This window comes from Homo sapiens, chromosome 1, assembly GCF_000001405.40.
Source record: "Homo sapiens chromosome 1, GRCh38.p14 Primary Assembly".
Taxonomy (NCBI): domain Eukaryota; kingdom Metazoa; phylum Chordata; class Mammalia; order Primates; family Hominidae; genus Homo; species Homo sapiens.
The window spans coordinates 85,686,129-85,709,896 of NC_000001.11; the positions used below are offsets into that span (position 1 = coordinate 85,686,129).

General features: G+C 37.9%; 1 protein-coding gene across 5 annotated transcripts in view, besides 6 other annotated features; it reads right to left on the bottom strand.

Moving 5' to 3' along the window:
• Positions 1-22,305, bottom strand: part of ZNHIT6 (zinc finger HIT-type containing 6) — a 59,017-nt gene extending 36,712 nt beyond the window's left edge. For 4 of the 5 annotated variants that reach the window (XR_007061268.1, XM_024447736.2, NM_017953.4 and 1 more), the window contains exons 1-5: positions 21,501-22,305; positions 20,314-20,379; positions 20,121-20,227; positions 19,950-20,035; positions 16,029-16,132 (exon numbers count right to left, since the gene is read on the bottom strand). Coding sequence is in view for 4 of the 5 variants with exons in the window: in XM_024447736.2 (XP_024303504.1) it covers positions 16,029-16,132; positions 19,950-20,035; positions 20,121-20,227; positions 20,314-20,379; positions 21,501-22,156 (1,019 nt within the window). In the remaining variant the exon portion in view is untranslated. The remainder of the gene's footprint in view (positions 1-16,028; positions 16,133-19,949; positions 20,036-20,120; positions 20,228-20,313; positions 20,380-21,500) is intronic. The other variant, NM_001170670.2, reaches the window with a different exon arrangement.
• Positions 5,343-5,843: an enhancer, noted in NCBI's record as "H3K27ac hESC enhancer chr1:86157154-86157654 (GRCh37/hg19 assembly coordinates)". NCBI's record gives its function as "activates a minimal SCP1, AML or CMV promoter by ChIP-STARR-seq in primed H9 embryonic stem cells {active_cell/tissue: H9 hESC(primed)}" and the evidence as "EXISTENCE:reporter gene assay evidence [ECO:0000049][PMID:30033119]".
• Positions 5,844-6,344: an enhancer, noted in NCBI's record as "H3K27ac hESC enhancer chr1:86157655-86158155 (GRCh37/hg19 assembly coordinates)". NCBI's record gives its function as "activates a minimal SCP1, AML or CMV promoter by ChIP-STARR-seq in primed H9 embryonic stem cells {active_cell/tissue: H9 hESC(primed)}" and the evidence as "EXISTENCE:reporter gene assay evidence [ECO:0000049][PMID:30033119]".
• Positions 21,562-22,395: an enhancer, noted in NCBI's record as "H3K27ac hESC enhancer chr1:86173373-86174206 (GRCh37/hg19 assembly coordinates)". NCBI's record gives its function as "activates a minimal SCP1, AML or CMV promoter by ChIP-STARR-seq in naive and primed H9 embryonic stem cells {active_cell/tissue: H9 hESC(naive and primed)}" and the evidence as "EXISTENCE:reporter gene assay evidence [ECO:0000049][PMID:30033119]".
• Positions 21,562-22,457: a biological region, named in NCBI's record as "H3K27ac hESC enhancer GRCh37_chr1:86173373-86174206".
• Positions 22,098-22,457: an enhancer, noted in NCBI's record as "active region_1272". NCBI's record gives its function as "activates an Ori minimal core promoter by ATAC-STARR-seq in GM12878 lymphoblastoid cells {active_cell/tissue: GM12878}" and the evidence as "EXISTENCE:reporter gene assay evidence [ECO:0000049][PMID:35858748]".
• Positions 22,396-23,228: an enhancer, noted in NCBI's record as "H3K27ac hESC enhancer chr1:86174207-86175039 (GRCh37/hg19 assembly coordinates)". NCBI's record gives its function as "activates a minimal SCP1, AML or CMV promoter by ChIP-STARR-seq in naive H9 embryonic stem cells {active_cell/tissue: H9 hESC(naive)}" and the evidence as "EXISTENCE:reporter gene assay evidence [ECO:0000049][PMID:30033119]".

Consider the following 23,768-nt stretch of genomic DNA (forward strand, 5'->3'; position numbering starts at 1 on the left):
TTCTTTGTATTTTTAGTAGAGACGGGGTTTCACTATGTTAGCCAGGATGGTCTCAATCTCCTGACCTTATGATACGCCCGCCTCGGCCTCCCAAAGTGCTGGAATTACAGGTGTGAGCCACCGCACCCACCCTTAACATTCTTTTTAAACTTAAACATATTTCACTATTAGAAGTATTCATTTAAGAATTCTCTTTTGCCCCCTTTGAGAAAAAAAATATATATTTCTCTTTTTTATCTTAGAAACTAGTACTGAACCAGAACGAGGGTTACCTATCTCATCATTTTGATGGTCTCAAGGCTATCTTCCTAAGAAATGTGCCACAACTAAGAGTTACAAACGGAGGCTAAACTCAAAGAATGAAGATTTCTAATACAAAGTTTAAAGAAGCTTGAATATTTCTGTTCTTTTTTTTTTAATCACCAATTCTCATCCCACTCCAACACTGATTAACCAACATATACCCAAAGAACACTAACGAGAGCTCACTAGACATTAAGGACAAAGAGACCAACAAGGAGATGAGTCCAACACGGACTTCTTTTTAGGGCAGCAAGTCAATCACCAATGTTGGGCACTGCATTTTTCCCTCCATTTCACAATTTTCATATGAAAGCTTCCTGTTCTTTATTGACACTGTACATAGCAAGAAGGCTCAATATACTATAAGGTCCAGAGGTAGGATGGGGGAGAGGTTAAGTGGACTTTGCGTTTGAATCCCATTTTAATAATTTATTTCTTAACATGTTCTTCAGCAAGAGACAATCTCTCTGTACCTCAGGCTTCTCATAGTAAAACAGGGATAACAACGGTATTTCTATCACAATTAAATGAATAAATAATATATCAAGAGTTTAGAGGCCGGGCATGGTGGCTCATTCCTGTAATCCCAGCACTTTGGGAGGCCGAGATGGGTGGATCACTTGAGGTCAGGAGTTCGAGACAAGCCTGGACAACATAGTGAAACCCCACCTCTACTAAAAATACAAAAAACAAAAAAAAATTGCCAGGATTGGTGGCGCTCAACTGTAGTCCTAGCTACTCAGCAGGCTGCGGCAGAAGAATCACTTGAATCCAGGAGGTGGAGGCTGTAGTGAACTGAGATTGTGCCACGGCACTCTAGCCTGGGTGACAAGAGTGAGAAGACTATCTCAAAAAACAAAAAAAAAACAAAAAAAAAAAACAATTTAGAACCCAGTACTCAAAAATGTTACTATCAAATACCGACAGTGTCTTTAAACAGAGTATTTTGCCGTGATTTCATAAGCAAACTCTATTCACATTAAACTTAGTGTTTAGTGGCTAGAGATGAAACTAGACACATTAATACCAGATTATAAAGGGCCCTGAATGCTCTGCTAAGCAGTATGGATTCTATCTTGTAATTAATGCACCATTAACAAAGGTTTTAAAAAACAGTGAATTGAAGGGCTTACAGGGAGATTCATCATCCTACTACTTAACTCTCCTAATAAGTGTTTCCATAGTATATTCAGGACATTAACTTTTTAGCCCTTGTTTATAGTTATTAAGAGAAGTATTTCCAACTACTTTTGAGAATCACATTGACATATCATGTCAATTCAAATATGCTTAAAATTTTTACTTCTGATTTTTAAACACAGGTGACTCCATGAGGTAAGCTAAAGCTAGACATTCCACATGTCTGTTTTCAGAATACTGTATCACTAATTACATTAGAAATGTCTACAGGTTCCATCCTGGCCAACATGGTGAAACCCTGTCTCTATCAAAAATACAAAAATTAGCTGGGTATGGTGGCGTGCGCCTGTAGTCCCAGCTACTCGGGAGGCTGAGGCAGAAGAACTGCTTGAACCCCGGAGACAGAGGTTGCAGTGAGCCGAGATCGTGCCATTGCACTCCAGCCTGGTGACAAAGTGAGACTCCGTCTCAAAAAAAAAAAAAAAAGAAATGTCTACAGGTTATAAAAAACTACCAGTAAACTGTTTTACCAGAGAGCACAGCAAGTAGCAATAGTAAATAACAATAGTTTGTTTTAAAAGCTTTTAATGTCAGGCATGGTTCTAAATGTATGTATTAACTCCTTTAATCCTTATAATTCTATGAGGTAAAATATTATTATTTCATTTTACAGATGAAAACACTAAGGTAGAGAAAAGAAAGTCACTCCTCCAAGGTCATTATTCAGCTGGAAAGTAGCAGAGCTGCTGGGATTTGAGCCCAGGCAGTGCTTCCTCTTAACTCTAGAGTCCATACTCTGATCTGCTATATTATTACGAGCTTTCTAGAATTGAAAGTTCAAAAATAAACTATGTATTTTTCTGTACTGCGAATTCAAGTGTATCTCAGTTACTTTTTATTTTAAATATCTGCCTCCATATTTTAAAATCATTTTTAAAAGGTATAGTAGACATTTTGACTATTTACTTCGCAATCGTTCCCTACCTCTCACCACCATCCTTCGTAATCCATAACCATACCTTAATGAATGAACTCTATGCCTACCCTCTAGGGGTGTACATTATGACTTAAGAAAATCAACATACTTTCCTGGACACAATGGCTCCAGACTGGGCAGATTACGTAGGCAGCCTAATCATGGTGAAGTTCAGGTTTTCTGTTTAGTAATGTTGGGAGAGAAGCACTCTGTCTGGATATTTACTATAACCCAAACTGTTACCAGCAATATCCTATGACTATGAGGATTACATGGACACCATAAAGGACACAATAAAGAATCAGAAAAAAAAATGGGTCCTTGATGATATAACCAAGTTGCTGTAATTGAAGTCCATCTACCTCTGAACATTCAGTTATGAGAGTCAAAATGTCCTCTGTATATAGCTCAAATCTGTTTAAACTGAGTATTCTATTTCATGCAACTATAAAGCAACCTAACTGATACAAGGGATTGATACAAACATTTCTGCTATGTTTCTCTTTCATTTATAAGCAATAGAAAAAGAAGAGACACTAAAATTGTCAACTTGTATGACATCTGGAAGCAGCGAATAATACCTGATGAAATTTCAGGAAAAAAATTTGTTCTACTGTCAGCTATAAAATCTTAATTTAAAGCTGAAAGAAAATATAACAAATTTTGAACTCTTCAAGAAAAATACAAAATCTATAAAATACCTACATAATCCTTCATTCACAGGCATTTAATCTTTTAAAATGTATTCCAAGGTGAAAATCTGAAGTCTCTCAAAAATAAATGGAATCATTCCTTATAAAAATAATCTATTTTATTAGGATTAGTACCATGATAAGTGTTTTTTGGAAGTATGAATACAAAGAATCTGTTTAATTATTTGGTATAGATTAAATGACTAGAATTTGGGAGAATGAAAACCATAATTTTATGTCTCACATCATTATGTAAATACTTTGGGAAGTAATAGTTATATATTTTTGTCCTTTTAAAAATTAGTACCACTACTGCATGAAAATAATAGGAAAAAGGTTAACTATGTGGTATTGGCTTTAGTAGAAAGTATATTAAGAAAATGGATATAGCAGGTGAAGACGGAAATGAAATGAAAAAGAACCTTTTTACTTCCAAAAATTGATGAATACTTGAGTACTTAAGCAGTTCTCAACTGGGAGGGCTGGGAGTATGGGGACAGTTGGAAATGGCTGGGCAGTTTTGGTTGTTCCAAGACTAGGGAGCACTTGAGGATTTAGTAGGTAGGGGGCAAGGAATGGGAAATTCCTACAATGTATGGGAAAGCCCCACAAAACAAAAAAACTGTCCCATTCAAAAATGCCAATAGAGCCCCTACTAAGAAACACTAGAAAGTAGAAAGGAGACCAGATATATGCATACCAAAAATGAATACCAGCACTAAATGCTAGCATCTGTTTCATATTAACTGCGGAGAAAATATGTACTATAGGAACCTAGGTAAAAGAGACATAATGGAGAAGATAAGCTATCATGTGTACTCTCACAGATGGCTAGAATATATGGAATAAAAAGACATTCTAGGATTTAGAATGGTGACCAGCCTGGGAACATTTAGTTGAATACATTAGGAAATAAGGTGGAGAGAGACTATAAAGATCCACATTCAGATATGGATCACTCGTACGAACAGGAAGATTTCCTGCTCAAAGTATGACTCTACCTAAACTCCCTGGCATGGCAGAGTGGGCCTCTCTCCAGCCTCATCTCCTATCGCTCACCAAACCCCCACTGGTTTTTAGGCACACCAAATTACTTACATTGTGCTAACTTTGCTACACTATGCTTTTGCTTCTGATATTCTCACCACCAGAACCATCTTTCCCTCTGTCTAGATAAAAACCTAGAAATAAAAACTATTTCTCATCCTTAAAAACATGCTCAAATTCTATCTTCTCTAGGAAGTCTTTCCTGTTCCCTGCTCTCAGTGAGTAACACTTCCCTCGAAAGGCTGGGGCAGGGAGTCCTCCTCTGTGCTACCATACCCCATGAGTACTCCATCACAACACTAACTATACTATGTTTTAAGAGTTTGCAGTCTTGTCTGCCCACTGACTGAACTAATTGAGAATAAGGTCATTGACTTATAGGCACACAGATCAGTGGTTTTCAGGTAGAGGTAAACATCAGAATCATCTGGTGCTTTTTAGAAGTAAAGATGTCCTTGGCTGGGCGGGGTAGCTCACACCTGTAATCCCAGCACTTTGGGAGGCTGAGGCGAGCGGATCACTTGAGGTCAGGAAGTCGAGACCAGCCTGGCCAACATGGTGAAACCCCATCTCTACTAAAAATACAAAAATTAGCCAGGCGTGGTGGGGCTTGCCTGTAATCCTAGCTACTCAGGAGGCTGAGGCAGAAGAATCACTTGAACCCAGGAGGTGGAGGGTGCAGTGAGCCGAGATCGTGCCACTGCACTCCAGCCTGGGTGACAGACCGAGACTCCATCTCAAAAAAACAAGTTCTGCTGGTCAAGCCCGGGTATCTATTCTGCATTTTGAAATTGCCTCACAGTTAATTCTGGCATGCACTATAAACTGAAAACCACTAGTCATAAAACTGGTACTATTACTGTCTCCATCTTACAGATAAGGCAATAGGCACAGGGAAATAAGTAACTTGCCAAGAAAACTTCCTCTCAAAGATTAAATAAAATTTGTTATGTTTAATAAAAAATAAACATTCAAGAAATATTAACTATATTGTGATTCCTCCTTTAAAAAGCAAATACAACGAAGATGACTTACTCTGTTTTGTTTAATGAGGAATACTTGAAATGAATTATATTTCCAACTGTCTGGGAAGTAGCAACTTCAAATGAGAGGGGGATAAGAAGGAGTTAACCTCAGGCTACGGAATGGAGTACAGACAGTACAAGACTCAAAAATGAGATGACAAATTTCATCTACTGGCAATGCTGCCTCTGGCCAATTGAGATATCTCTGAGCTAATGACTTTTGTGGGCACAGAAGCTTAAAGGATTCTAAGTAGCTGACCATTATGGTGAGAACAAGTTTTAGAGAGGTGTATCTAACAGATAGGCTGGGTACACTGGCTCACGCCTGTAATCCCAGCACTTTGGGAGGCCGAGGCAGGCGGATCACCTGAGGCCAGGAGCCTGGCCAACACGGTGAAATCCCAGCTCTACTAAAAATATATAAATTAGCAGAGCGTGGTGGTGCAAGCCTGTAGTCTCAGCTCCCTGAGAGGCGGACGCACAAGAATCATTTGAACCCAAGAGGCGGAGATTGCAGAGCGCTAAGATCACGCCACTAACTACAGCCTGGGTGACAGAGTAAGACTCTGTCTCAACGCCGGGTATGGTGGTTCATGCCTGTAATCCCAGCACTTTAGGAGGCCAAAGCGGGTGGATTACCTGAGGTCAGGAGTTCAAGACCAGCCTGGCCAACACGGTGAAACCCTGCCTCTAGTAAAAATACAAAAATTAGCCAAGTTTGGTGGCGCGCACCTATAATCCCAGCTTCTCAGGAGGCTGAGGCAGGAGAATCGCTTGAACCCGGGAGGCAGATGGGGTTCTTCAACAGTCCAGAGTGAGGTAAGAAGGGCCTGCATAGGACACTACAGCTGATAAATGCTGCGGTCAAGGAGGCAGTAAGAAAGGGACACATTTTAGAGGCATATCACAAAGGATGGACTTGGTGACTGGGAAAAGGCTTCCTTAACTGAATCAGTTCGGGAACCTCAAGATGATCGAGTGTTTGGCTTTACATTTCTATGAATGCTGGCTAATTATTGCTGTGGAAAGTTACACCCTCTGTGATGCTGTGTCACAAGAACTCCCTTACCACTGTCTGCATGGCTGCAGTAAGTAGAGGCCCAATTGGGGAACCATTAGGATTCTATTCTTCCACACTATTTTTCTAAATCCTTGCTGTTGTTCTGAAATTCTTCCATCAAACCATATCAAAGCTATTATGGCAGAGAAACCACAGAGCTGTCAATCAGTTGACAAGTCTGTACTGGGCACCTATTATATAATCCCCCAAAGCTCACAGCAAAATCCACTTGTCTCCTCATGACCACAACTGCTAAACCCATCATTTCATTTTCCTTTACTCTTTTCTAAAGCCAATTTGCAGCAAAGTACAAACCTATACTACTTATATTTATAGGATACCATGTTAAAAAAAAAAAAAAAGTCCTGTGCTTTTAGAAGTACATTACCACATAACTGTTTAAGGAAAAAAGTGCTACTGACATTAATACAGGGGTAAATAGGTATATTACTGCAATATAATAAGGATGATGTAATTTTATCCAAAGAACAAAAAGTAATTTTTTGAATTCATAAAAGCTTTGTTATTTCTTTACAAGAGGGACACCTAGTGGCTTGCTTCTAAAACAGATTGAAGCTCTTAAATATTAAGTTGTTTAGTAATAGGCGCACCTCTATTATCTTCATACTGTAAGTAAAAGACAGACACACAAACACAGAGCTAAAGAACCCTAGTTCAAAAGAATAAATTGAAAAGTTAAGGACTTTCAGTTCTAAGCTGTTAGTGGTAGAAGAATGGTAAGCAGAAGAACTGGATTGTTAAGAACTGAGGGCCAATATCATTTGGAGACAAATGTGGGGATAAGAAGGTCAAAAATTGGGTCCATTTCTGAGGAAATGGGTGGTTAGTCCACACAAAAGAGTCCAAGCAGACAGCAGTACCAGACTTACACAACTTCAGATACTGGGATTATTTACACAGATGAGAAGTGTTCTAAATTACTGAAGAAAAAAAGGAAGCTTACAACGTGAGTGAGTAAGTAATACAATTCTGTCTAAAAGATGAGAAAGATTTGGGAAAGAAACAGAGGTTCCAGGGAAAAATAAACTAAAAAACAAACAGTGCATAGACTAAAAATATGATTAATTAGACAACTGAGGAGGGAAAGTGACTTGGACAATATAGCTGAACAAGTTACTTGGAATGTAGCAAAGACAAAGAAATTAAGATAACTTACTACTTTTCCAGAATTGTCATATTTAGACAGCAGAACAAATCTCAAGGAATAAAAATAAAAAGAAATAGCACTGCAACACACATCATAGAAACTGCAGAACTCCAAAGACAATATTGAATATTTTCAAAGCAATCAGAAGAGAAAAGAAGGAAGACTATGTATAAAACAACACTGTTCTCAATAGTGGCAAAAGAAGTGAGAAGTCAACGGAATATATAAATTAACTGAGTTCTAAAATAAATGTCAACTTAAGATATTTCATATGAAGCTAAACTATCATTCAAAAGGGGCTGGGCGTGGGGGCTGATGCCTGTAATCCCAGTACTTTGGGAAGCCGAGGTGGGAGGACTGCTTGAGGCCAGGAGTTCAAGACTAGCCTGGGCAACACAGCAAGATGCTGACTCTATTTTTTAAAAAGTAAAAAACAGATAAACAAAAAACAAAAGTAAGAGTGAGCTGTCTGACTATATATGAAATTTTAAAACAGGCAAAAGAAATGTACAGGGGGAAAAAAGGACAGGCTGTCTCTAAGGAAGAGAGGAAATGACAAGAAAAGTCTTTCTGGGGTGATGGTAATGTTCTATTTATTCACAGGCACTGGATTATACAGGTGCATGTATTTGTCAAAACTCAGCAAATGTACATACTTAAGATTTGTGCATTTCATTACGTGTAAATTTTACATCAACAGACAAAAATGCAAACTACGGAACTCTAGTTAACGATGCTTAAGTATTCAGGGCCCAGTAGAGGGATGCCTGCATTTAATCTGAAATGCACCAAAAATAAAATGGGTTAATGGATGGATAAATATCTGATAAAGCAATTATTGTAAAATATTGATGACAGAATTTAGGTGATGGATATATAAGCATTCACTGCAAAATTTTCAACTTTATGTTTCAAATTTTTCGTTTTTCTTTTTTTTTTTGAGACGGAGTCTCGCTCTGTCACCCAGGTTGGAGTGCAGTTGCACAATCTTGGCTCACTGCAAGCTCCGCCTCCCAGGTTCACACCATTCTCCTGCCTCAGCCTCCCGCGTAGCTGGGATTACAGGCGCACGCCTCCACGCTCAGCTAATTTTTGTATTTTTAGTAGAGACGGGGTTTCACCATGTTAGCCAGGATGGTCTCAATCTCCTGACCTCGTGATCCGCCCGCCTTGGCCTCTCAAAGTGCTGGGTTTACAGGCATGAGCCACCACGGCTGGCCTCAAATTTTTCATAATAAAATATGGGAAAAAACTTTAAATAGGTAAAACTAATCTATAAAATTCAAAGTTAGGGGAAATAGGAAACTTGGGAGGAGGTGGTAGGTATTCCCATAGGGGGCAGTAAAGACTTCTGGGGTGCTGGTAATGTTTTTGATCTTGGTACATTAATGATTTGTGTGCTTTTTTGGTATGTACTGTATTTCCATTAAAAAATGAAAATAAGATGGGCACAGTGGCGCACATCTGTAATCCCAGCACTTTGGGAGGCTGAGGTGGGTGGACTGCCTGAGCTCAGGAGATCAAGACCACACTGGGCAACATGGCAAAACTTCCTCTCTACTAAAACACAAAAAAATTAGCTGGCATGGTGGCAGGCACCTACAGTCCCAGCTACTGGGGAGGCTGAGGCAAGAGAATTGCTTGAACCCAGAAGATGGAGGTTGCAGAGAGAAGACTGAGATTGCACCACTGCACTCCAGCCTGGGTGACAGATGGAGACCCTGTCTCCAAAAAAAAAGATGAAATAAAGATATTTTAAGACAAAAACTGAAAAAGCATATTTTTATGAGACTGTCACTAAAGAAATCTTAAAAAGGAGAACAAAATGATCCTAAAAAGGTCTGAAAAAATGTTTAAAAAGGAACAAAAATACTGGTATATATGTGGGTAGATTATACTTTTGTCCATTTTACTGATGAGGAAAATGAGATATAGAGTTAAAGCCACAAAACTAGTAAACATCAGAGCTGGCATTTGAAGCCACTATATTTTGTTCAGCTTCAGAAAAAAACAAATAATTGATTAAAAGAAACAGAGATCAAAGAGACATTTCTCCCATGGTTATATACTTGGAGACCACTGGTTAGAGTAACATGTAATGCCCTTAAAGAAAGTTCAGCAAGATTCTAAGAGCTATTTCTTAGCATGTCCTTAATCAACATTAACAGCTTCAGTCCAAACTCTACTACCAGAGGGGACAAAACAACATGGTTCAGGCCGGGCGCGGTGGCTCACGCCTTTAATCCCAACACTTTGGGAGGCCGAGGCGGGCGGATCACAAGGTCAGGAGATCCAGACCATCCTGGCTAACAGGGTGAAACCCTGTCTCTACTAAAAATACAAAAAATTAGCCAGGTGTGGTGGCATGTGCCTGTAGTTCCAGCTACTCGGGAGACTGAGGCAGGAGAATGGTGTGAACCCGGGAGGCAGAGATTGCAGTAAGCTGAGATCGTGCCACTGCACTCCAGCCTGGGTGACAGAGCAAGATTCTGTCTCAAAACAAACAAAAAACAGCATGGTTCATCTGTGAAGTTTTTCTTATCTAACAGACACAAAGTATATATCAAATAGAACTCATATTTAAGCTGATTCCCAAAGGGATTCAGATCCAAATAATCGCTAATTTATTAACTGCATTTTTTTTTTTTTTTTAGAGACAGGGTCTCACTCTGTCGCCCAGGCTGGAATGTAACGGTGCAATCATGGCATTCACCATCACACCTAGCTAATTTTTAAATTTTCTGTGGAGATGGCATCTTGCTTTAGAAACACCAATTTAAAGTGAGCTTCCTAATCTTTCAGACAATTGTTTTAAACTCCAATTCTTTTTTTTCACTGAACATGTCATGGATAGTATTCCATGACAATACTTCTACGTCTAATTGTTTTTGCTTAATGGCTGCATGGAATTCCATGGTATGAAGGTGCCATCATTTACTTAACTCAGTCCATACTGAAGGATACTTTAGGTTGGTGCCAGTTTTTACACTACTAAAAACAATACTGCAATAGATATATGTGTACATATATCTCCTGACTATAGATCATCTACAAATACGTTTGTAGGCTAAATTCCTTGAGTACTTACTTATAACATTTTAAGATGTAATATACATTTTATACAATAAAATATATAACATTCTGAGAAACATTACCAAATTGCCTTCTAAAAATGACTGTACCAATTTAACTATCAACAATGGAAGAGGAAAATGGCCTGGTTAATCCATACTTTCATTATATTAGATATTATTATAATGTTTATCAGCTAAATACCATGTATGTACACATATCTTTCTATGACCATCTATTCTTTTTTTTTTTTTTTTTGGAGACAGAGTCTGGCTCTGTCTCCCTGGCTGGAGTGCTGGAGTGCAGTGGCGCAATCTCGGCTCACTGCAAGCTCCGCCTCCCAGGTTCACGCCATTCTCCTGCCTCAGCCTCCCGAGTAGCTGGGACTACAGGCGCCCGCCACCACGCCCAGCTAATTTTTCGTATTTTTTTTTTTTTTTAGTAGAGACGGGGTTTCACTATGTTAGCCAGGATGGTCTGGATCTCCTGACCTCGTGATCCACCTGCCTCAGCCTCCCAGAGTGCTGGGATTACAGGCGTGAGCCACCGTGCCCGGCCAACCATCTATTCTTATCCTCTGCCCCTTTCCTAATTAGTTGCTAGTCTTTTTTTCTTAATAATGCATAAGCACTCTGTGTCATATATGTTAAAGACTTTTTTGGTCCAGTCTTTTCACTTTATTATGGTCTTTTTTGCCATGCAAATTTAGTTATTATTTTCCTTTTGGCTTCTGGATGGGATGTTTCTTCTCTTCAAATTATGAAAATATTCCAGTATTTTTATTTCATTTTAAGATTTTGATCCACCTGGATGTTATTTAGTAAAAGATTCAGCATTTCCTCTCAAATGGCAAGCTGTTTCAACTCTATTTATTGAATAAGCAATTATTTGTACTAATTTGAAATGTTACCTTGATCATATACCAGCAAACCAAATATACTATTTATTTTCTATGATCTAGTTACAGATTTCTAGGCCAACACCATAAAACTACTATAATTTCATAAATTTTAATGAATCCAGCCTCATCATTCTTTTTTCAGATTTTTCCAGGCACCTCTGCCATGTTATTCTTCAAAATAAACTTCAGTTATTTATGAACTGTCTTATTAATAAATAACAACAAACAAAATCCCATTGATATTCTGACTAGGATTGCATCAGACTTAAAAGATCACTTAAGAAACAATATTGAGCTTTTTAAGAATATGGCACTTTTTTCCATTTATTCAAATCTTTTAAGTCATTCAGGAGAATTTACATTTTCTTCATATAGGTCTTTCATATTTCTTTCAACAGATTTGATTAGTACTGGGTGAAAGTGAACATAAAGCTATAGACCCTACAAAGAGGTGAGGTAAAGGAATTACCTCTGAAAAAGCCACTATTTTAAAGTAGCTTGGGATCTACTCCAAAATAAGGAGGAGAGCCAACATTTCCTTATCAAGCTTCTCTATTTTTAACAGAGAATGTCAACCTTGCTTGGGCTCAACTTACATAAGCCTCCCTGAACTGAACTTTATTGATTACAGCTATCCACTGTGGTACTCCTGCAAATTCCTCTAAAATAGTCCTCTAAAATTCATCCTCATTGCATCTATTTTTGACTTCACAGACTTCACCTCACTTTGACTATTCAGTGAAAATTGCAGTACTTATTCTTAGAAAAATTCACACATCACATAATTTCACATATAATTTTAGGAGAGTCAGTGAAAATGCCTGCCATAAAGGGTGTCTGGATTAGAATGAACCTATCCCAGTCAGCTGCTACAATCACCTTCTGATAGGTCTACAGAGTAATTCAGGTACAATGGCACATTCATCACACTTCATATACGGGCTTTTACATTTAAAACTTTTTTTAAAAAAAATAAATGTAGACTTTATAGAAAAGTTACAAAAACAGTACAAAAGATTCTTCATTCAGATTCCTCAAAAGTGAAAACATGTAAATTTTAAGCGACATCAACTTGAGATTTTGACTATATTGCAACTCAAGTTGCTTAAACAAGCAATCAATTTAATACCTAGGGAGTATTAATAATCTTAGGACAAGACCAACTTCTCATATCAACAATTCCAAAATCTCCAAAACTGAAAGATTTTTAACTCCTTCAGCAGCAAAACCTAACTGAATAAATCTATAGTCATTATTTACCCATTATAAGGTAAACATTTATAGGTTTCACTGCACAAATAGTACTGTTTGATTACACAGTGCTATCCCAGACCTATGAGGGGTGAATGGAATATACAGTAAATGTGGCATATTCCTAAGGATTTCAGTGAAGGGAATGTAAATTTTCATTGTCACTGTATATTATTTAGTATGTGCCAGGTACTACTTTAGTTGGTATTAAAATTTCATTTAATCCTCTCAATAACCTGGTAAGTCAGATTTTGCCCAAGGTCACCTAATGTATAATCAAATAGTAGAGACAACATGAAAATTTACATTTATCAGAGTCAAAGCTATAACCAACTTTTGAAAAGTTAATAGAAAAAAGTATTGAAAACTAGTCTCTTAGAATACTGGGGGCATGGGAGCTGAACAGAATTCTTTGAAAAAATTTCATTTCCCCTTCTTCCCTCTTTCCAGCAAATACCATTGCAATCATCTAAAACCTTGCTCATTTTCATATGAACAGCTGATAAGACACAAATATCTCAAACAAAGTAACTCTTAAATGTCTATTTTTTCCTCTTAAAGGTGAAGTATAAAACACCAGAATCCTGATTCTGTCTACATTATGTTAATTATCTGGACCAAGAAAAGATTAGAACTATACATTCAATAAGTACATCTTCTGTATTTATGTAAATCAGTGCTTTTCAAATGGGGGTGATTCTGCCTCCTGCAGTGGACATCTGGCAATGTCTTAACAAGAAATTAAAAATCCAAGAGCTCAACCTCTCTAATAAAGCTGCCCACAAAAAAATTTGGTAATATTCAACAAAAGTTAAGGTATAACTAAAATAGGCACTCATACTTTCTTGATGAAAGTACAAAGTGGTAATGTTTTATGGAGACAATGTAGAGTTTTTCTCAAAAGTTTAAATACATTGTACTCTCTAATCCAGTAATTCCGCTTTCTAGGAATTGATCCTACAAAAAAAAGTCAGGTAAGCACACAAAACAATTTGTTCAAGGCTGTTTAATACCGTGTTATGTATAATAATTAAAAACAAGACATAAAATAAATGTTCATGAATATCGGAATAATTAAATGAAATGAGATATAGTCAAAGGTGGAATACCCTATTTAAAAAGAATGAGGCAGATTTGCATTAACAAGAAAAGAGGTTCACAATGTATTGCTAAATGGAAAATCTAGCTGCAGGAAAAAAGGAGGTGCATTTATTCATAAAAAATTAATGTTTAACTTGAGCAGAGTCATGTCACTTTATATAGTTTTAAGTATTTTATATTATGTTTTACTTTATTAGATGAAAAAAGGAGAAAACATGATTAGAAGGAAATGTTACGAAATTTTATTAGTGGTCAACTCTAGATAGTGGAATTATAGGTGATATTTTTCCTTTAAACTTTTTAATGATACAGATGTATTATTTTTACAATAGCTACTATAAACTGATTCCTTCCCACATGCCAGTTACTGCCTATGTGAATTAATACACTAAAAGGCCACAACTCTACAAGGTAGCTATCATGAGCTCCATTTTGCAGACGGTAAAAGACTAAGAAATGGATTCTAAAGCCTATTAGTACATACTATGTTGCTAATCTCCTCCTGGGAAACACTAAAAATGTAAGAAAACTGATCACAAATCTCTATAAATTTATGAGCAAAAGACTTATGCAAGAAGAATCTGATTTGCCATTTCAGAGACCCGGGGAGTTTCAAAACAACCAAAAATATATTAAACCTGGAAAATATACTGAGTGTAATATTCTCGGTAAAAACTTCCCGCATACATTCATGTACCTACAGACACAAAAATGTTATACTTGAGGCCATCTGCTTTTCATTACTGAGAACTAATCTCTGATTACAATCATTCTGAATAGTTTCTTTCATAAAACAGGAACACATTTTGTATTTGAGAAAGCACTAACCAGTTACCATAAACTTCTAACCAGTTACCATAAACTTCAAATTATGTCAATTTCTAAATATGCCAGTTTCAAAACGCACAAAAGAATCATCTCACATTTGATAAATGCAAGACATTACTTTACTTTTTTTTTGAGACAGGGTCTCATTCTGTCACCCAGACTGGAGTGCAGTGGTGCAATCTTGGCTCACTGCAACCTCCGCCTCCTGTGCTCAAGGGATGCTCCCACTTCAGCCTCCTGAGTAGCTGGGATCACAGGTGGGTGCCACTGCACCTGGCTAATTTTTGTATTTTTAGTAGAGACGAGGTTTCACCATGTTGCCCAGGCTGGTCTCAAACTCCTGGCCTCAAGGGATCCACCTGCTTCAGCATTACTTTACTTTTCGAAGACAACCAGGAAAAACGAAAAACCATTTTTACAAATGTTTATGTCTTATATAAAATAAATGGAAAACGTCATCTTCTAATTATGATAACAGCTTTGAAAAGATAGAAGCTTCACTAGAATAATGATAATTCTGATGGCTTTGTCTTTTCAATTTTTGGAAGAGTACAACTGGAAAGGCTCCGTAGTTTACCCGGGTCAACTCCCCACATCATACAACTGGGGCCCAGAGAAAGGAAGTTGATTTGTTCAAGGCCCCACAGTTACTAAGAGGCTGAAAAGGGAGGGACTCCCTCAAGTTTTTAAAAATTCTAAATCCAAAATCTTGACTTCTGAAAGGTATTATCTGATAATTTAGTTGGCTACTTAAAGAACTTTGGGATCCTGTTCTCTTCTGTACTCTTGGGGCCTTTTCAACCCAACATTTTCAGACAGCAGCAAACTAATCTCTGTTATATTATCTGTACTCAAGAGTTCAAAGTCCCCTTCTTCTACATTGACAGCTTTTAATTGAAATCTTATTTGGAAACCCAGTGGAGAAAGAAAATAAAAGCAGAGCTGCCTTGATTAAAACAGTACAGGCGTCCTGTTTTTACTCGTTTTGTCCTGGAAGCCCCTGAAATACTTTCTTGGTATCTTAGTTCTCAAAGAAACAGTTTATTTCTAATGTATGAGAGTGTTCCAGGGCGCTGCTACTCAAAATATGTTTCTCAAACAATGAGCATCATTGAGGAGCTTGTTAGAAATGCCCAATATCAAACTCCAACCCAGGCCTACTGAAAAATCACAACAAGCATACTTAACAAGATGCCTAGGTGACTGGTATGCACATTAATGTTTGAGAAGCTTCTCAAATGATATGAAGACACACACACACACACACACACACGCACACACTGCAAACCCAAATTTTTATTAGAGTTACATGACATACAATTACTACAGTTATCTTGTCATGGACCAATAACAAACAGTTTACAGAACCACACTTGGGGTAGCAATGCTCTATAGCAACCAAACCTTAAAGAATGATCCTGATCAAATCAGAATACCTGATATACTAAAAAGTTAGAAACTTACTTCTTATCAAAAAAGGTTGAATTCTCCTTCCTCTTGGTGAATCCATTGGGTAGAAGTTTTAAGTTAATACCTTGCCTCCGGGCACGATTTTTCATAAAGTACATCTAACAACAAAAACCAAACAGACAAATTAATTTTTAAATTCCTTAAATTTAAAAAGTGAGTAAAACAATGTTCAATAATAGTTAAGATTTACTGAGAACCTAAGTGTTACAACAGCTCTAAGCAGTAATCTCATGTAATCTTCACCATGATACTATGAGAATAGGTACTATCATCTCCATTTTAGCAATAAAAATTAGTGAGATCCCAACATCATACAGCTATCCCAGAGAGATAGAACCTGTATTCAAACCCTGGTCTGTCTAATTCCAGAGCTTGTGTTTCTAACCATATGTTCTGTGAGCCAAAGAAGAATTTAATGGAGATTAAACAAACAAAAACACAGGTCATTTGGCAATCACGGGGGCTACCTACACAATTCTTGATTTCTTTTACCGATGGTTTTACCAGTTAGCTGTATATATATATCACTGATTTTATTACTAGACAGCTCACTCAAGGGAAGAGCCAAGGCATTGCCTAGTACAAGGCCTAGCTTAAAGTAACCACTGTTGTGGGAAGCACAAAATGGGATATGAGAACATTCTGGCTCTGACATGTGTTATTACATTGACCACCTGGGTTGATTAAGCTAAACTGGGCAATTCCAGAGTTATGAAGGAAGTAATACCAGATTTTTATTAAGTCAAGGAAGAAGAAAGATCACTCAAATAAGAGGCAAAATATAAACGCAAGTTTTTTGTTAAGTGAATAGGGATCTAGAATTTGCAATGTAAACAGTCAGAATCAAGTCCATAAGCCAAGGAAAGGATGGGTCAGCTATCATTGGCTAAGTAGGAAACTGTTTTAAGAAATTACATGTAATTTTATAATTTAGAGGACTTTAGTTTCAGTAATGGTAGTGATAATTATAATAATTCTAATAGCAGTGACCAACCCTCCTAATATACCTTCAGGATAAGGGTGAACCAGAAACAATCTCTACTTTTAGAGCAAGCTAGGAAACTTGTATGGTTACACTGAAACAGAGGAAAAAAGAAAAAAAATCCATTAGCAGTTATGGCTATGGACCATCCCTTGCTTAGATTTGCAATTATTTTGCCTTGAAAACAGCACTGAATAGCCATACTCTAGAAAAAAAGTGGGAGGACTTAATCAGATAACAAGTTTCAGTAAAAAACCACAATAATTCAGAGAGCATAGTATTGGTGCAGGATATACCAGTAGGCCAACAGAATGGAAAAGACAAGGCCACAAAATGACCCAAGCATATAGGGATGCTGATATATGACAAAGGTGGTCCTACAGAGCAATAGGGAAAGGATGAACTTTCCAATAAATGGTGCTGGGAAAAGTGGATTATCTATATGAAAAATTAAATGGGAACTCCTCTGTATATGATACCAAAAATCAATTCCAGTTAAAGACATAAGTGTAAAACACAACAGTATAAAGCTTTTAGGCAATAACTATAAAAGAATAACTTCCTAACTTCAAGGTAGAGATGGATTTCTTTATAAACATATAAACCTACTAACTATAAAGGAAACAAATGATAAATTTGACTACATTAAAACTAAGAACATCCATTCACCACAAGACACTATAAAATGAAAAGACAAGACAAAGACTAGAAGAAGGTATTTATAACATACAACCAACTTGCACTAGCATCCAAGAAATACCAAGAATTCTCACAAACCAGTAAGAAAAATAAAGCTGACCAATGAAAAGATGAGCAAAAGACTTGAACAGGCACTGCATAAAAGAGGAAATCCAAATGGCCAATAAAGTATTTGAAAGGTGGTTCAATCTCATCAGGAATTAAAGAACTGCACATTTAAAACCACAATAAAATTACAAAGCCAACAGATTGACAAAAATTTTTAAAGTCTTACCAAACTAAGTATTGGCGAGAATATGACAATAGGTACATTCATACACTATTGGTGAGAGTGTAAACTAGTACAATCACTTTGGAAAATGTTTTGGTAACATCTAGGCAAATTGAAGATATGCATACCACACAACAAAGCAATTCTATTCCCAGGTATAAACCCTAGAAACACATGTTCACACACATACTATAATTCATAGACAAAAGTAGTGGCATTGTTTCTAAACTGTTTTTTATTCTTACAGAAAATCCAAAATCCATTAAAAAAATGCGTAAACAAATTGTGGTACAGTCCTAAGATAGAAAAAAATATAAAGAAATGAGAAAAGATCAGGGAAGGGCATAAAAGGGTGGCATGGAACTTCTGGGAAGCCAGTAATGTTCTAATTCTAGATTGGGGTGGTAGTTAAATGAATATTCATTTTATAATTATTCATTATACTGTGTATTTCCATTTTGTGATGTTTAGAAAATATACTTGCTATATTTCACAATTTAAAAAAAAATTGTAAAGTAATTTATCTTTAAGTAGAATTTTAATTATGCCTAATTAAGTTTGAGGAAAAATAAGAGTTGCTATATGAATAATTTTCTTTCAGATATGTGTAATGTAATTATGTCTGTACCAATAATACCAATAAAATAAGGTGTTTAAAAGGTATTAAAATTCTGCAACTCCAATACTAAAATGAACACAATTCCAGGATACGATTTAATCACACCATAAACAAATTTCTACAACACCAGTTGCCAAATATTCCAAATATGTAAGCTTTAATTTTGCATAGTATTTAAGGAATTAAAAAAGGAATGCAAGAGTATGAAAATTAAGTGTATTAGAATAGCAAGTCTTGTTAGCTCTTCCTTCAAAATCGCAATCTAATCCCTTCCCAATAATTCAAACAGTACACCCAAGCCACTATTATCTCACAAGGATCATGGGAAGAGCTGCATAATTGGTCTCCCTGCTTCCAATCTTCCATTCTTGCCCCGCTAAAGTTCACAAAGTGCAAGAGTGGTTTTTCAAAAGGCAAATTTATGTTCAAAACCCTTCCATGGTTTCCATTTGCACTTAGAATTAGAAACCCTCACCAGTTTCTTTTCTTTTTTCTTTTGAGACAGAGTCTCACTCTGTTGCCCAGGCTGGAGTGTAGTGGCGCAATCATGGCTCACTGCAGCCTTGACCTTCCTGGGCTCTGGTGATCCTCCCACCTCAGCTTCTCAAGTTGCTGGGAGTACAGGGGCACGCCACCACGCCTGGCTAATTTTTGTATTGTTTTATAGAGACGGGTTTTCACCATGTTGCCCAGGCTGGTCTTGAACTCCTGAGCTCAAGGAATGCTCTGGCCTCAGCCTCCCAAAGTGTTTGGATTACAGGCATGAGCCACTGCACCCAACTCCTCACCAGTTTCTCTAACTTCATTTTCAATACTCTCCTCCTCACTCACTATGCTTCAGTTACCTTGCAAATCTTTTAATTCCTCAAACCAGACATCCTTGTTTCTGACTCAGGTCTTTCCTTTTACTTTTGTCCCTACCTGGGATAATCTGCCTCCAAATGTTCACATGACAGCCTCTTTCTCAGCACTCAGATCACTGCTTACACATCATCTCTTTGAGAAGCTTCTCCTGACCACTGTATCGAAAATAGTACCCTGACAATCTCTCCCCAACAAAGACCATTTTCATTCTCTCTTTAATCTCTTGAGCCTTCTTTATTTTCTATATGAACTTAACTCTATCTGAAATTACATTTGTTCCTCTACTTATCTCCTATATCTCCCACTAAATACAACTCCACGAGGGGACGGACTTTGTTTGGGTCACAGCCATATCCTTAAGTAATCAGAATAGCTCTACATCATGGTAGCCACTTAATATATTTGGTAAGTTAAAAAAAAAAAAAGAATCTAATTGATTTGAAGGACTTCTAACTGGAAGAAATTAGGAAAAAATCTTACATATTTATTGCTTATTGGTCTCTTCAAAAAAGCATCTCTAGAAATATGGTCCGCTGTTCTTGCCACATCTTCCAAAAATCGATAATCTAAAAATTTCAAAACAGAAGAATAAACAAGTGACATATACCAATGGCCAGGAAGCCTCAATTTGCTATGCATAAAGTGGCTTACCACTTAGGAGATTCATTTCAGTAAACTGTTGTATTGAAATGTATGCAGTTTTATCTCGAACTCCATTACATGTCAGTTCTGCTTTGTGTTTCTTTACACAGGGCAAACTGAAAAGACAAAGGGGAAGTACTTTTATATTTTAGGGTAAGAAAGGTACAGATACAGGTTAAAAGGTAGGAAGTTACATGTATACCTGCAGGAATATCGCATACAACGTGGACATCTGTACTTTGCTTCTTCTGTACCACAAGTCTCACACCTACAAAAGCCCACATGTAACATTAAATTATCAAATATTAATTGTATTTATTTATAAACTTAGAATTCCCAATCAATTTATAAACTCAGTGACAAGTAACTGATAAAATATTTGATAGCTGTTGAACATCATTTGAAAATTCTTCTCTATGAAACCTTCCCAAAACAACTACATTTCCAATGTTGTTAGTGATATGTAACTCAGGAAAATGTATTAAAATTTTTAAAACCCATCTCGCTTTTGACTTCTTTTTCTACTATAATCAGGGAATGAGATTATTCACTGATATTTTAACTTGTGATTCCTGGAAATGTGGTAATGATTGTATGTGTGTGTATCCAGAAGTCCAATTCATGAGCTATGTTTAGATATTTTTAAAGCACACACCAGACAAAGAATATAAGGCCAAGTGAAATTTAGAGAGTAGTAGTAGCACCCTTTTTCCTGAACTCCACGCCTAATCTAGAATGAGCATCGAAATAATCTAGAAATGCCATGTAACCCATCATCTGTCCTCAACTGCTCTTCTATGCTCCTGGGATACTGACAACCAAACTACAGTTACTTCTATTTAGCCCACTGTGTTCTAGACGGGAATATTCTCAAGAATCTGACTACTCTTATTTCCTTTGTCACATGATCCACACACTAAGGAAATTCAATCAAAAGCAATAAATATTCACAGCACCCATGAAGAAGCTTGATAATTGAGGTCAAGTGTATTTTTGCCTAGTTTTAACTTAATCTACTTTGTCATTGTTAGTTTTATTAGACTTTCTCATCTCTATTCTCTCTCAAAGGAATACCGAGTAAAGAGCATATTAAGTCAAGCCAGATCCAGTTCCAACTGATCTTTTGGTCCCCAGAATTTCCACTTTCCTAACTTGACCATTACCCATTGGACACTACTAATTTCATGTATTTTCACTGAATTTGTTGTGTTGTCATGTACAACACCCTCCACTTCCCAACCCACCCCCGCGAACGCCGTCTGACTCCAGAAACCCAAACTTGTGCTCATTTTTCATTATTCCACCTTCTCCTGATAGTGTGGTTTCCTTCACTCTAGACATGAGGACTCCACAGCTTTATTCCCCTAAATGGAATCCCCCATGCCCTACCTTGACATGGCCAGTTTCCGCTTGCAGCCCACCGGGTGATTTATCGGAGGCTCTTCTTTCACCTTTGTATCATCCACGATTTCTTTCTTCAGGAAATCCTTCTCTTCTTTTACACACTCTCCATGCATCAATTCCTCTTTTATGCATTGACCAACAAACTTCTCCTCCTGTTTTATCTCCAAGTTATCCTTCTCTTCCTTCACTTCTGACCAGTCCATTACCTCTTCCTTTACCTTCTCTTCCTTTACCTCTGGTTCACCCACCTTCGCTTCTTTTACCACTAAACTACTATCCGTCTCCTGCTTCACCTCCAATACGCCTGCGTTCTCATCCTTCACCTCAGGCCTATCCTCCACCTCCTGTTCTACCCACTGGCCAGCCAACCTGCCTTCTGTACCTGGCCAGTCTATAATTTCCTGCTTCACTACCGTTAGGTCCATCGGTATTTCCTCTGGCCTTTGTCCACTTCCTTCCTCTCCATCCCCTATCTCCTTTATCCCTGTCAGCCCTGTCCCCTCCTCTCCGCCGCCGAACTCCTCCGCCCCTGCTAAGTCCCTTACTCCCTCCCTGCCAGGCTCTGGACTTAGCCGCACCCCCTCAGCTACGCTGTGGAGACCTCCCCCAGACTTCCCTTCATTTTCAGCAGCAAACTCCATCAACTCACGATCCTTGGCCTCTGCTGCCACTCTATCCTTCAATGTGGCTGCTGCACACCAATAGGAGGAATTACCGGTCGGAATACCTACGGCGGCCCACGTGTGGAGCCAAGCAGCCACAAACCCGGAATAGCCTGCTTGACGCGACTGCTCGAATCGCCGTAAAGCTACGCTTTTGCGCCTCGCCCCTTCACGACTTGTAGAGCTCTTTACGGCTCTGCGGAGGCCCTGCCGGATTCTCTGGGCGAACAAGCGTAACTGCGTGACTTGCCCGCTGGGGTTCTCGTCTCCTTCCTGGTTTCCACCACCCTCTTCCCTTAGAGAAGCCTCCTGGGCCACTCCCTGGGCCACCCTCCACGCCCTGCTGGGTGTAAAGAGTGTAGGAGACCGGCAGAGGGAGAGAAGCGAAACCCTTACACTCTGGAAGTGGGAAAACCCACCCTAATCTGTGTTAACCATTAAATCCAATCTTGCATGAAAATGGAGGACACACCTGATGTTATTAGGCCTTTCCAAGCTTTAGTTTCTTAAAGCTATAAACTAGGGACCATGGTATTATTAATATAAATCTCCCAGTGTCATTGCAAAGATTATATGAGATCATGCATGGAAATCAACTAGCAGTGACGGACACAAACTCGATATATAACTGGGAATCCTGATGGGCTTCAAACCGCCTGGTTTCCACCACCCCCTTCCCTTAGGGAAGCCTCCTGGGCCACACCCTAGGCCACCCTCCACGCCCTACTGGGTGTAAACAGTGGAGGAGACCGGCAGAGGGAGAGAAGCGAAACCCTTACACTCTGGAAATGGGAAAACCCACCCTTATCTGTGTTAACCATTAAATCCAATCTTGTATGAAAAAGGACACACCTGATGTTACACCTTTGCAAGCTTTAGTTTCTTGAAGCTATAAACTAGGGAGCATGGTATTATTAATATAAATCTCCCAGTGTCATTGCGAAGATAATATGAGATCATGCATAGGAATCAACTGTCAGTGACAGACACAAACTCAGTGTATAACTGGGAATCATGATGGGTTTCAAGTAGGAAAGAGGGCATTAATTTTTCTTTCCATTCTTTCTAAGTAACAGCCTGCGTCAGGCTATTCCCCATTCCCAGCATTCTGCAGGATTCTCTCAGAGAACATCATAAATATATTAGGCGAAAGTGCCTAATGCCCGGTATTGCTGAATAACATTGCATTGTATGAATGTGGCACGTTTTTTCATGCATGTACCAGTTGGTGGGCATTTGGCTTGTTTCCAGTTTGGGCTATTACGAATAATTCTGCTTCCACATTCATATGCAAGTCTTTGTGTGGACATGTTTACATTTCCCGTTAAGTAAATAACTAGGAGTGGAATTGCTGGGCCATATAAATTTATGTTAATTTTTAAAGAAATGCCCAAACTGTTTTCCAAAGTAGCTATACCATTTTACATTCCTACTGGCTGAGGGTTCCTATTTCTCTACATCCCGGCCAATTCTTAGTATTATCAGTTATTTGATTATAGATGTGTAGGGGTACGTCATTGAGAATTTACATTTCTTTAATGACTAATGATGTTGAACATCTTTTCATCTGCCAACTGGCCATTTGGATATT